Raw genomic sequence first — 14825 nt, 5'->3', positions numbered from 1 at the left:
ACTTTATAATGATATTTTAATGAGGAAAAAATACAGAAACAAAGAAAATGATGTTTAGTATACAGACAACATCTAGCTTTAGCAATTAAAAAGTACATATCTATATACACACACACACATATATACATATATATACACACATATATATACATATATACATGTATAATTATTTTTTCTTTTCTAAAAAATATCTTTCCAGAGATGGCCTAACTCCTAGGCAGTGTGCCCCAAATCAGCCAAAAAGTAAATATATTTTATAACTCTTTTAAAATGTCACATCTTCCCCTTATGACCTTATTTTGGTTCCATAGCTTAAAACTTTTGTCAATCCTGCTTAGGCCTCCTCTCAAGGAGGAACTGATGAGCCCAGTGATTCTCAACCCTGACTGTACATTGGAATCACCACAGAAGCTTTCACAATCACAAGGCCTGGCTTCACCCTCAGCAATTCTTATTTAATTGGGCCAGAGTGGGGCCCAGGCACCCGTCCACAATGGCTGTTTTTATTGATAGCAACAATAGTATTCTGATTTTACAGAAATAATTTTAGACAAGTAGTTCATTAAGACTTGCAGCATGTTTACTATTATTTACTATGCAGTTAGCAGGCCAGATGCTAAGAGCCGGGAGCTACCATTATACATGAATAGATTAGAGAAACACATTCAGCATCGTACATTTTATGCTATTAGCACAACCTGAAAGACAGCACATAATTGGTGGCACATTTAAAATTCTGTACAACGAAGTCTGCTGCTGCCATCGAGATGCCAGGGTGGGGAATAAGGGTGATCCAGTGCAACTGATGTACTTGCATAAACAGAGGAGAAATAAGCGTCCACTGGATCTTTTCCAGGTTAAATCTATCATAGGGCAGTAGGAGAGCAATGGGCTGGAAGTCAGGAGACTTGGGTTCCAGTTCTGACTACCAGCCAAGTCATCTCAAGGAAGTCACTTGAATTACTGTTAGTTTCTAAGCTCCTTCAGGGAGAGGGATGATGACTGGGTTGACTTTTGTTTTAACTGGATTAATTTTGAAGGACAAATAAAAAGCTCAAAATTAGCATAGAACACGAAGAGCATTCCGGACAGAGGGAATTCTAGGTGGCAAAAGAAAGCAGTTTAAAATGGCATGGCATGTTTGGGGAACCTTAAGTATTTTAGAATAGCTGGAGCATAAATACCAAGGAGAAGCAGAGGCAGTCGTGTGGGACAGAGACCTGACTGTGAGATCACGTATGCCATGCTGGGAAGCTTCAGCTGTATTCAGCATACGCAACTGGAGAGTCATCAAAGAGTTTTATCATAAAGAGCTCAATCAGGCCAGGCATGGTGGCTCATGCCTGTAATCCCAGCACTTTGGGAGGCTGAGGTGGATGGATCACTCGAGGTCAGGACTTCGAGATCAGACTGGCCAACATGGTGAAACGCCGCCTCTACTTAAAATATAAAAATTACCCAGGTGTGGTGGTAGGCACCTGTAATCCCAGCTACTGGGGAGGCCGAGGCACGAGAATCACTTGAACCTGGGAGGCGGAAGTTGCAGTGAGCCGAGATCATGTCATTGCACTCTAGCCTGGGTGACTGAGCGACTTTGCCTCAAAAGAAAAAAAAAAAAAAAGAGCTCAATTAGACAACCACGTACGAGGTTTAGAAAGAGCATTCTGGCATCACAGGGAAAAGGGGAGTGGTGGGCTGAAAGTGAAGGAAATGGGATAATGCCAACATGGCAGCAAAAATTCTAATTAGGAGGCTATGGCAGACGCTTCACCACTCTGTGGCTCAATGTCCTCATTATAAAATGACAAGTGTATTAGTCAGAAACTGTGTATAAGTGACAAAAACATGTCTCAAACCAGCTTTTTTTTTTTTTTTTTTTTCCAAAGGTGGTTTCTTGACTCATATTTCAGACATGTCCAGGGCTATACTGACTGACTTCAGGCATCACTCACAGGATTTCATCAGAGCGCTCTCTCTCTCTCTCTCTCTCCCCATCTTTCTAACAGGCTCTCTCCACCTGAGAAACAAGGTGGCCACAGCAACCCAAGATTGCTAATCCATAAAGTTAGTCCCCTCCACTGGCAGAACAGCACAAAAAGAAGTGTCCCAAGGAAAACTCCAACTGATCTGGCTTTGGTCATGTGTCTAGCCCTGAACCAATCACTGCGAATTGGGAAATGGAGCTCTCTGATTGGCCAGGCTGGAGTCACTGCCTACTCCTGTGAGATGTGAGCAGTGTCTGCCCCAGTCAAGCCACAAGGACTCCCCATGGGAAATGGGACTCCTGCGCCTTCCTCTCCCAGAGGAAAGGAGAAAGGATGTTGAGTGGGCAAAAACAACATTGGTTCACTAGAGGAGATGGGGTGAAAGGGCTTTAGGATCCACATACTGTAAGCCATGTTTTCACCATAAGCTCATTCAAATTTCTCCATCAGGCAAGGCTCCAAGAGCCTCAAGCCCCAGTCCAGGAGGGGAGTTGAGATATTTCTCACTATTGGCTTAACTTATTGGCTAAAGTTTGTTCTTTTGAGCTAAGACTGTACACACGCACACACACACACACACACACAGATCAAGAATGAACAGAAGCAAATGACTTCTTTAATTCTCGTATAATTCAGCTTTACACTAAAAAGAAAGTGAAGAAGTGGGGAAGAAAGGGAAGGAGGATAAATTCCAGTGAAGCAAGTGCTCTTTTTCTAAAGAAAAAACACTAGGGCTCAGAAACTCTGTTAAATTGTTTTTATTGTGAAACTGGAAAAGGTTCCAAAGAGAGCAACCCGGATGATTAAAGTCATAAATACGTTCTGAGAAAAGCTCAAGAATCTAGGATTTTTCACTACAAAGAGAAGATTAAGAAGACTGAATAAATGACATGCACCAGTAAAGTACTTGGTTCCTGTCTGCAATATTAGAGAGTTGTGCTAGACATAAAAAATAGCTGTACTTCTTTCCTCCTCTTTTTCCTCCTCTCCTCCCACTCTGCCTTTTGATTGAAAAGATGTGGGGGTATCTCAAAATGACAAAAACCTACTCGTGAAGGGATATTGAAAGTTAAAATAATTACTAGAGTAGGGCGAGAAAAGAAAGAGAGAAGCCGACAGATTCTCAGGATAGGTATTAGATTACTGGTTCCATACAACATGAAGGAGAACTAAATGATGCTGAGGTTTCTTGTGCTTCAGTCTAATCTTAAAATTAAATTAGGTGATAATGTATATTCTTCTCACTTGACTTTTAGCCGTATTTCAAAAACCACCCTCCCCATACCTTAAAATATACAAATGTAAAAAAAAATTAGTCAAACAATATTCTATTTACACATCACTTAACACTTCAAGAAAACAATAAAGTGGTGTCACTCTAACATCTTTGGTTTCAAAGTACCATGTAGGATAAATGCATTTCTAATTAAAGACTTCCAAACTTTCAAAATGAAACAAAAATTTGCAAAATGAAACTAAGAAACCAAGTAACACTTAATTTTGTTATATTTAGCCTCATGTCAGCTATTTTTGTTTTAAAGTGGTTTATGATTCAATTGGCAAATGTTTAGGGAACGTATCTCATGTGCAAAATATTATCCTAGACACGGTGGAGAAAACAAAGAGGCAAAAGGAAAAGTCTCTACTGGCATGAAGCTTATAATTAAGTTGTGTAGACAAAGCATAAGTATTGTTACAAGTTAAATAAAAATGTATAAGAATGCATTATGGGCCAGGCACTGTGGCTCACACCTGTAATCCCAGCACTTTGGGAGGCCGAGGTGGGTGGATCACCTGAGGTCAGGAGTTGGAGACCAGCCTGACCAACATGGTGAAACCCCATCTCTACTAAAAATACAAAATTAGCTGAGCAGGCTGACGCATGCCTGTAGTCCCAGCTACTTGGGAGGCTGAGGCAGGAGAATCACTTGAACCCAGGAGGCGGAGGTTGCAGTGAACCAAGATCACATCATTGCACTCCAGCCTGGGCAACAAGAGCAAAACTCCATGTCAAAAAAAAAAAAAAAAGCGATATAACAAATATCACGTGGCAGGTTGCAATTAAGTACAAAATAATAAGTGCAAGAAACTCCCAGTCTCAAGCAGGGGTCATCACTGTGGGCTGGGGAGACTGCCTGGAGGAGGAAGTCCTGAAGGGGTCCTGCAAGCTGACTGAGAGTCACAGGAGAGGGCTGCACAGCTGAGAAGCAGGAATGTGAGGCTTAAATCAAGAATCTAGAAAGCAAACAAGAGAACCAGCATAGGGGCTCTCCAGGAGGCAGTGGGATCAGCCTGGGTGGATGTTTTGGCACAACCCTGGACTTCAGTTCTTTGGGGTTTAGAAGTTTCTTAAGAGAATCTCAAATAAAATTGTCATTTTGGGACCAGGGGTCTGGTTGCAATTGGTTTATTTGTATATACTGCTTACTGTGTTCCAGATGCAGTTCCAAGTGCTTTTTAAAGATTAACTCAATTCATCTTCATGACACCCCTTTGAGGTAGGTATTAGGAAGCTAATGCACAGAGTGGTTACAGTAACTTGCCTATGGCCACACCATTAATAAGGGATGGAACCAGTATTTGCAGCCAGCAGTCAGGCTCCCAGGTCTGTCCTGCTCAGCACCATGTTATACCCTACAAAGAAGACCAGGGCAGAATGTGCCTCCTGGAAGCAGGTCAGGAGTCCCCACCCAGGGCTTGAGAACTGAGTCAGGGTGATGGTGGAAGGAGGGGAGAAGGACACTGGAGGAATAAGGAATAGGAATAGATAATATAATGACTGGTTAGATATGAGTGGGGGAGGACAGCAAGGGAGAGGGGATAGGGAGTGGGGCTAGGGGTGATAAGAAAGGAAAATTCAAAGGGACTTGGAATTTTTAATTTTTATGCTTCCCCTGGTGAGGAGCAGGTCTACTCAGGGATAATGAGTCCAAATTTTGACCCAAAAAGTATGAGCTCCTTGAAGTCAGACAAATCTCAGTTTGAATCTGGCTGTGTGGCTTTGGGAAAGTTTCACAATCTCTCTGTGCCTCTTCTCCATCTCTAATGGGAACAATTCCAATAGCTGAGGTGATGTAAATCAAGAGTCTGGCACAGTGTCTGACAGGAGAAAGCCTTCCATTCAATGTCTTTAAGCCACTGGAGGTGTGGAACCCAGAGCCTGGACATGAGTTCATGGCTAGACAATTTGGATTTGGGGATGGAGAGAAGGCAGAGCTTGAAATAATCAGGAAAACAGCAATGTGACTGCCACTGTGCTGGGCTCTTCGCATGCTTTATTTTATATAATTCTCACAACAACCCAACAAGGCCATTTAAAGATGAGAAAACTGGCTTAGGAAGGATGAGTAAGAGGCAGCTTTTCCAGCCTGGGTCTGCCTAACTCTGAAGGCCTCAATCCTCACAGCTCATTGCCTCCCCAGCTGGTGTTATGAGAGGTGAGATCACCAAGAGATCGCCAGAGACTATCAGGGTTGGGGAAGATGGATGGAGACTGAATGGGAAAAGAGACCGAGAGGGATTATGGGAGTTTCTTTCCCTCCCCAGCCTCTCGTAGTCATGGATGCCGTCTGCAAACTGTGGGTATAAGCTGGCAAACAGTGGTTTTTTTTTTAAAACACCCAAATGTCAAAAGAGGAGTTTGGCAAAGTGGCTTTGTGCATATCATCTACACCACATGGGGAATCTCCAGTCAACTCCAGATGAGGAGCTGTCTCACCTCCACCACCCAGGAAAAGCCCAGACCTGTGCCCCAGACAGCCACCTGGGGTCTGCTTTCTCTCTCTCCTGCCAATCCTATTTCCAAGGGTGGACCGGATCCCTGGTGGTCCTCTCTTTAAAGGACTTGACTCAACACAGCATTGTTCTGCACCTAAAATCTGCATCCCACCCTCCCAGAGATGTGCTCCCAGCCTGCCCCCTTCAATACGAACACAGGCCTAGAATTGGAGTAGAATTTTCCAATCCCTCTTGGTCTGGGTGTTCTGACCTGCTGGTCATTGAGCTTTTCCTGAGAAGGAGCCACCACTTCTTGTCCCAGGGTTTCCTTGCCTCCTGCAGCCCAGTAAGCCTCCATGCTTATATTCCCTGCCTATCTTGCAGGCTATTTTAATTCCTTCTGGAAAATATTTCTGATGGAGTGGTTAGTGGAGATCCTAGCCAAGGAAGGCAGAGTTTCAAAGAAAGAGTGGTCGATAGTATTAAAGTCTACAAGACAACCGAGGACCGTGAAAAGGCCATTTGAGTTAAGCTGGTAAAGGCTAATGGTGGCTTTCAAATATGCAAAGGAGGCAGAAGCCACATTGTAAGGGTTACAGAGGATCTGTAAACCACTTTCCCCTCAAAACTTGTCAACAACAAGAAGCGAAAAATAAGATGATGGAGAATGGGCCCCAAGTGAAAGTTTTCCTTAAGTTATTAAAAATCCAGGGGTTATTTTCCAGCAGAGGATAAAGAAACAGAATATAGAACCAAAGTCTAAGGTGTAACAAAATTTCCCCCTTGTTGTTGAAATATTTATATCTATTTGTCATCATGGATTAACTTTATTTTCCAAAAGTTTTAATGAGCAAGTAAAGTATATATGAATATAGGTATCTTTTCACTTGACTTTTGAAAATGATGCCCATAAAAGTTAATGTATGCAAATCATTTAAAAATTATAAGCCTTGTATGACTCTCTGACCTCCTTTGATTAAATTCGACTGGCATAAAAACAAGTAATTGAAGTATTAAGAATCAATTAACAGTGAGCTGGCTGATTGTCATTACACCTTTAATTAGCAGTATTGGTTTCAGTATCACAGTGCTATGGTTAGCAGCTATAAATGAATGGATTGAGCAGCCACCAGCTGACATTTTGAGAACCTTGATACATCATCACTTTTTCCTGCTACTAATTAAGATTTATATCTTCCACTGTATTAATACTGCAAAGGCCTTTGTGATGGAGGCAGGATTTTTCCACTGCCTTTGTTTCTGTGGGTCTCATCGATTACAGTGTACATTGCCTGGGATCACAGACTTGTAAACACCATCCCAGTGACTCAGTTCAAACAGGGTCTTCTGCTGATTCATTCAACAAACACTTACTAAAGAACGACCACATGCAAATCACTGTGCTAAATGTTAGGGCAAAGGAGGAGGAAGAGAGGAATCCAATGATGAGGGAATATAGGTATTCCCTCTATATTTAAGAAGCTCATAGTTTCAGGAGGAGATACACATAGTACTTCACTGTGATACAGTAGGATGTGAATTATAATAGGATAGAAATAATGTGAATGGGAGCACAGAAGACAGAGAAGTTAGTTCCAACTTCCAACAAGTTACTTTTTTTGTTTATTGCCACAAAGATTCAAGGGCTCACTCTCAGTCCATACAACTGGGAAGGAGAATTTTATCAGGTCATTCCATGAGCAGTCCATGGACATTTATGAAAAAGGCGACTCACCCATCTCCAGGCCATGATTCCCACTCACTGCTGAGATGGGCACTGCCTGTCTACAGCTCAGGCTCGGCTTTCCATTCTCTTGTCAGAGGGTCAGTGCTTGTGCCTCTCAGGGCATAATTTCTCTCTTCTTCCCAAAGCAACTCAATGCCAACAGTTAGAATGAACTCAACGCTCATTTAATTATGTGGGTTCTCCTATGATTAGATAAACATGCATAAGAATGACTTTGAAAGCATTTTTATAAGCTCCTTTCCAGGCCATGCTCTAAGAGATTTTATTTAAACTGATACTCTAGGTTATTTTGATGCTAGAGGTCTCCAGACCACATTTTGAGAACCAGCACTCTAGCTTTACAGCTAAGGAAGCTGAAACCAGACAGGTAAATTATCCTAGTACCTAGTTAGTATATAATAACAGCAAACGTTTATATAGCACTTACAATGAGCTAGGTATGGTTCCAGACGTTTTACACATGCAGTAGGAATTCATTTAATCTTCACAACAACTCTATAAGGTAGATATGCTTATCATCTCGTTTTATAGATAAGGAAACTGATGCACAAAGAGGTGAACTAAGTTGCTCATGGTCAACAATAAGAAAATATCAGACTTGCCCCTTGAATCCAGACTGCCTGAATCAAGAGTCCACCATCACCACTATCTCAGAGGGGCAAATGTGGGTCTGAACCCAGGTCGTCGGATGTCCATAATGGGTGCTCTCTATCACACGTGCTGCTTTGAAGGCTGTGAGTCTCAAATAAAAAGCTGGAGTTCTGCTGTTGGCCACCGAGAGACCCAGTGATTTTTCTTTCCAGGAAGAGCTGGCTTGTTTCTGAGACTTTTCCGTACCACTTCTTTGCCTCTGCAAAATTCTGTACTTTTCTTTGCTTAGGGCATCTTGAGAACCAGAGCAGCTCAACTTCAGAACTATAGTTAAGCTAAGCTTTAACTGACACATTCTTTGAGCAATTAAACTGACGCATTCTGTTAGCAATTCCAGAGGAGGACAGGAATTTAAGTGTGTGCTGAAGATTAGAACGCCTGAAATTATACTTCCAACTTTGCCTCATTGTTAAACTTTTCTTTTTTTTTTCTGCTTGAACTGACTGAGAGACCCAACTTCTCATGGAAAAGCTTGGGAAAGTCAGAAGTTCCAGTCATTAAGAAGAAAGTGTGGAAAGTCTGGTTGACAGAAACAAGCTCAAAAGCAGAAGTGTCTGACTACAAATTCAAGTGCACTTGTCTGCATGAGAGAATAACCTTCATGAGACATTTCTCTTTATGACTCTGCTGTTTCGAATCTCTGGCTGGCTGTAACAATAATTAAGCAAAGTTTTTTATTTCTGAGTCCCTTCATTTAAAAAAAAAAAACAATGAAAAAAACTCTCCATGGTCCCTTTAGTGAGCTCTTCCTTGCTGCTTTGTTACTTGGTACTGATAGCTAAAGGTTCTTATTCCAGCTGGTTCTGCAGCTCTGACTCAACTGCCAACTTCCTGACTTTCAGAAATCTCATTTCCAGATCCCTGCTGTTTTTCTGCGTGATGCTGATTGCTGGCTCTGGTTCCCAGGAGGCGCCCAAGATCGGATTAACTGCCAGCTTCCTGATGCACAGCCTTGTTATCAGCGCCTATATCCTTGTTCAGCAAAGTGCCTCTCCACCAACTTAATGTTCTTTTCACCACCCCATTTCTGCACGATGTAGTCACAGTAAGACACAGAGTGTGCAGTCCCGATCCCAGTGCTACATAATAAAGATCCAGAGCTCACTTTTGTTGCACTCATGTTCTCGCCAACTGCTGGTCACTAGACTATCAGGAACAATAAGCGCAATTTTGGAAAGGGTGATGCCTTGGGATTTTATTGCTGCACTACACTAGGACAAGGAAAGCAATTGTACTGTGCAGTGTTGCCCAGCATTTGAGAACTCTTTGTTGTTTTTGCCACATTCAAGGCTTTTTGTAGGTATCCTTTATCAGGTTTAAGAATTACAGATTACAGGCATGAGCCACAGCTAGGCACAATGGCTCATGCCTGTAATCCCAGCACTTTGGGAGGCTGAGGCAGGAAACTTGCTTGAGCCCAGGAGTGCAAGACCTCCCTGGTCAACATGGCAAGGCCTCATCTCTATAAAAAATTTCTTAAAAAATTAGTTGCTGGGCATTGTGGCATACACCTATGGTTCCAGCTACTTGGGAGGTGGAGGTAAAAGGATTGGTTGAGCCCAGGAGGTCAAGACTGCAGTGAGCCATGTTTATGCCACTGCACTCTAGCCTGGGCAACAGAGCAAGACCCTGTCTCAAAAATAATTAAATAATAATAATTTCCCTTCTATTCCTAGTTCGCTGTTTTTTTTTCATGAGTGAATGTTGAATTTTTTAAATGCTTTCTCTGCATCAATTGATATAATCATGTGCTTTTTCTTTTGACTATTAATAGGGTGACTTGCATTGATTGATTTTCACAGACTGAACTATTTTTGCATTCTCAGGATAAACTCCACTTGGTTGTGGCGTAGTATTCTTTTTTTATATTGCTGGATTGTTGTGCTAATAATTTGTTGGGGGGTTTTGTGTCTATGGTCATGAGGATATTGACCTGCAGTTTCCTTGTCTTGTTACTGCCTTCGTCTAGTTTTGCTTTCAGTGTAATGCTAGCCTCATAAAATGAGTTGGGAAGTATTTCTTTCTCTTCTATTTCCTGAAAGAAATTGTTGAGGATTGATTTCTTTTTTAAATATTTGATAGACTTACTGAAACTCTAGTTTTTAAAGATTTTTTATTATGGATTCAATTACTTTTGATAATTATAAGATCATTCAGATTATCTATTTTGTCTTGGGTTAGTTTTGGTAACTTCTGGTTTTCTGAGGACCTAGTCTGTTTCATCTACATTGACAAATGTATGTGAATAAGAAACTTATGCTTCAGTCCTGCAGCCACAAGGAAATAAATTCTGCCAACAACCTGAGGAAGTTTGGAATCAGATTCTGCACTTCCCCCCACCATCATCCACCCCCAAGCTTCTGATGAGGCCACAGCTTCATCCAAGACCCTGAGGGTTAAAACTTGGTGAGGCCCTGAAGTAAAGTAACCAACTAAGCCATACCCAGGCTTCTGACCCCTGAGATAATAAATATGTGTTGTTTTAAGCCACTACTTGTAGTAATCTGTTACACAGCATTTAAGCCACTACCTGTAGTAATCTGTAGCATAGCATTTAAACCACTACTTACAGGAATCTGTTACATAGCATTTAAGCCTCTACCTGTAGTAATCTGTTACTTAGCATTTAAACCACTACTTGTAGTAATCTGTTACGCAGCATTTAAGCCACTATCTGTAGTAACCTGTTACATAGCATTTAAACCACTACTTGTAGTAATCGGTTACACAGCATAAAAAAAAAAAAAATTGACACAGTGCAATCTTTTCCTGTCCTCTACCTGTATAACTATGATTGAAGTGAAATTTCTTGTAGACAGCATATAGTTGGTGTGTTTAGACCATTTACATTTAATATAATTATTGATCAGTTTGGATTTAGTTCTACCATCTTATTTGTTTTGTTTGTTTCTAAGTTGGATCCTTTTTAAAAATCTATTTGACCATCTCTGCTTTTAATTAGTATTAACTGGAATTACTTTCCTTTTCCCTGCCTTCTTTTGGGTTAAGCATTTTTTTATTATTCTATTTAATGTATTTGTTTTCTTACTATATCCCTGTATAGTTTTTTTTCAGTGCTTGCTGTAGTGATTACAACTTAAGCAATATTCCACTTGAAGCAGAAAAACACAAGCACACTATGAAACATTAAGTATGCGCTAATATTATGAAAGGAAAAAAGATATAGCGGAATGAAATGGAATGACATGGAATGGAAGAAAAAGGAGCCTGTGGCCTATTGTTTCGACTCAATCCAGAAATGTCAAAGTATCAAATGCTCAAAAATAAATTTTCTCTTGTAGTACTAGACTGATAAATATTAAATTCTTTCCTAGACCATGTATCTCAAGTAATTAGACTGGTTTTATGTCATTTGGGCCAGATATGATATAATTGAGAAATCTTTTTTTTTTAATTTTTATTTTCCCTTCCTGTCTAGACTCCCACACCCTGCTTAGAGGTGGAGCCTGTGTTCTGTTTTAGGAAGTCACCCCAGTCCACTGCTGGGAATCCCAGCCAAGCCATCTTTCATGGTTGGTTAGGCACTGTGTCTAGCAGACTGTACACACCCACCACTGGAAGTCCCTCCAAGAGAAAGAGTCAGGTTAAGATGGCAGTTCAGACCCTCAGTCTGGTAGGTACATTGGGGCAAGCGTGAACCAGCCTTGCAGCTCCACAGGGCCCTAAAGCAGATACCAGTCCATTCCCCATCATTTCTGTTCCACCAGTAGACCTCTCTACTCATCCTCTCTTCTTCACCTTCTGAGTAAGGCAGAGTGGTAGCCATGAGTGCCAGGCTTCTCTTCCCTCCCTGCATTAACTGTGTTCAACATTGTCCCAAGGATTTCCCCCTCAGCCACTGGGCCCTTAGCACTGTCCTCAATGGTAAAGTGGATTTCTTCAGATTCCAACATGGAATTTCCCCACACGGTCACCAAAACAGCAGAGGGTGGTGAGAGGTGACTGAACAGAGAGGCGCCATATGTGCAGCCAGGGAGGTAACTGCACAGTCTTCCTCCTCAGCCAGACACAGGCAGCACCTAGAGAGTGCCATTCGGAATTGCTTCAAAGTCCTGTAATGAAGATGACCTTTATAAAGTCCGTTTAAGATACACCTTAAAGGCAGAAGAGAGCTCAGAGAAACATGAGCATGTTCTCTCACTGTTCTGTGAGATGATTCTGACAACTCTGAGCCTATATGCTTAGGAAGGTTGTGTTCCAGTTACTCTTATATTGTTTCCTCCTTCCCATTGACTTACATATAAGTGACAAAAGGAATGAATTAATTACCTAAGTAAAATGAAGAATGTTTAATTTTCTTCCCCCAGGCCTATAAAAGTCAAAGAGGACATGTGTACAGTTGTAGTACAACATTTACAGAATCCAAGGGACACAAACAATTACTTAGTACTGCAAAGATTAAACCTCAGATGGCAAGATGGGGTTGCATGATCCTTCACAGACAGTCCCATCTGCCTGTCAATGGTTAGGCCATACACCCGGACTGGTGTGCCTCCCTCTCTCCCTTCCTTCCTCCATAAATACTTAACAATTCACTCCATACCTGGCACTATGTTAGGTACTGGGATATTTGTGACTCTGTAAGCATTAGACAACACTAATTATCCATCTGAAGCTGTTCTTTCTTTGCATAGGAACATGCTTGTAGCATATGTGGTTAGACTGATTTCTCAGCCTCTGTTGCAGTTCCATGTGGCTATATATCAACATTCTCCTCCATGGAAAGTGAGAAGTAATGTGTGCCATTTATGCCAAAGCTTTCAAGAAGTAGCTATGAGGGGATGGCGAAGCCCCAAGAGGGCAAGGAAGTAGGTCCCTGAATGTCTTTTGTGGAAAAAAGCCAGTCACTGATCAGGAACACCTGCCTTAACTATTATACACATACATTTCTTTTTTTTTTTTTTTTTTTTTTAAGTGCAAGTAATTTATTTGGGAAGTGATCCCAGGAAGCATCAGGAGAGGAGCAGGGAAGCTGACAAGGGCATGCGGGGACTCTGGGAGGCTTAGATCCTACCTCTGATAGGTCCTGAAGTATTGTGATTGACTGTCGGAAGCCTCCTAAGGTCAGCGCCACTGCCGATGCGTTGGTATTACACCTTTGTTACTCCTTTTTATCTTAACCGTTTATTTCAAGAGTTTCTTTGCTGATCTGCTCCCAGACTGGTTTGTACCTGGTACCAAAGTTAATTTTCTTTTTTTATTTTTTTTATTTTTTATTTTATTATTATTTTTTTTTATTGATCATTCTTGGGTGTTTCTCGCAGAGGGGGATTTGGCAGGGTCACAGGACAATAGTGGAGGGAAGGTCAGCAGATAAACAAGTGAACAAAGGTCTCTGGTTTTCCTAGGCAGAGGACCCTGCCGCCTTCCACAGTGTTTGTGTCCCTGGGTACTTGAGATGAGGGAGTGGTGATGACTCTTAACGAGCATGCTGCCTTCAAGCCTCTGTTTAACAAAGCACATCTTGCACCGCCCTTAATCCATTTAACCCTGAGTGGACACAGCACATGTTTCAGAGAGCACAGGGTTGGGGGTAAGGTCACAGATCAACAGGATCCCAAGGCAGAAGAATTTTTCTTAGTACAGAACAAAATGAAAAGTCTCCCATGTCTACCTCTTTCTACACAGACACGGCAACCATCCGATTTCTCAATCTTTTCCCCACCTTTCCCCCCTTTCTATTCCACAAAACCGCCATTGTCATCATGGCCCGTTCTCAATGAGCTGTTGGGTACACCTCCCAGACGGGGTGGTGGCCGGGCAGAGGGGCTCCTCACTTCCCAGTAGGGGCAGCCGGGCAGAGACGCCCCTCACCTCCCGGACGGGGCGGCTGGCCAGGCGGGGGGCTGACCCCCCCACCTCCCTCCCAGACGGGGCGGCTGGCCAGGCAGAGGGGCTCCTCACTTCCCAGGAGGGGTGGCCGGGCAGAGGCACCCCTCACCTCCCGGACAGGGTGGCTGGCCGGGCGGGGGACTGACCCCCACACCTCCCTCCCGGACGGGGCGGCTGGCCGGGCAGAGGGGCTCCTCACTTCCCAGTAGGGGCGGCCAGGCAGAGGCGCCCCTCATCTCCCGGACGGGGCGGCTGGCCAGGCGGGGGGCTGACCCCCCCATCTCCCTCCCGGACGGGGCGGCTGCCGGGCGGAGACGCTCCTCACTTCCCAGACAGGGTGGCTGCCGGGCGGAGGGGCTCCTCACTTCTCAGACGGGGCGGCTGCTGGGCGGAGGGGCTCCTCACTTCTCAGACAGGGCGGTTGCCAGGCAGAGGGTCTCCTCACTTCTCAGACGGGGCGGCCGGGGAGAGACGCTCCTCACATCCCGGACGGGGCGACAGGGCAGAGGCGCTCCCCACATCTCAGATGATGGGCGGCCGGGCAGAGACGCTCCTCACTCCCCAGATGGGATGGCGGCCAGGCAGAGACGCTCCTCACTTCCCAGATGGGATGGCTGCCGGGAAGAGGCGCTCCTCACTTCCTAGATGGGATGGCGGCCAGGCAGAGACGCTCCTCACTTCCCAGATGGGATGGCTGCCGGGAAGAGGCGCTCCTCACTTCCTAGATGGGATGGCGGCCGGGCAGAGACGCTCCTCACTTTCCAGACTGGGCAGCCAGGCAGAGGGGCTCCTCACATCCCAGATGATGGGCGGCCAGGCAGAGACGCTCCTCACTTCCCAGATGGGGTGGCGGCCGGGCAGAGGCTGCAATC

General features: G+C 43.6%; 1 annotated feature.

Annotated features, from left to right (window-relative positions):
* Nucleotides 8686–8735: a silencer, noted in NCBI's record as "silent region_12089". NCBI's record gives its function as "represses an Ori minimal core promoter by ATAC-STARR-seq in GM12878 lymphoblastoid cells {active_cell/tissue: GM12878}" and the evidence as "EXISTENCE:reporter gene assay evidence [ECO:0000049][PMID:35858748]".

Source organism: Homo sapiens, chromosome 2 (genome assembly GCF_000001405.40).
Source record: "Homo sapiens chromosome 2, GRCh38.p14 Primary Assembly".
Lineage (NCBI taxonomy): Eukaryota > Metazoa > Chordata > Mammalia > Primates > Hominidae > Homo > Homo sapiens.
The sequence above is the reverse complement of the archived record's forward strand: the minus strand, read 5'-3'. Positions and strand labels throughout refer to the sequence as shown.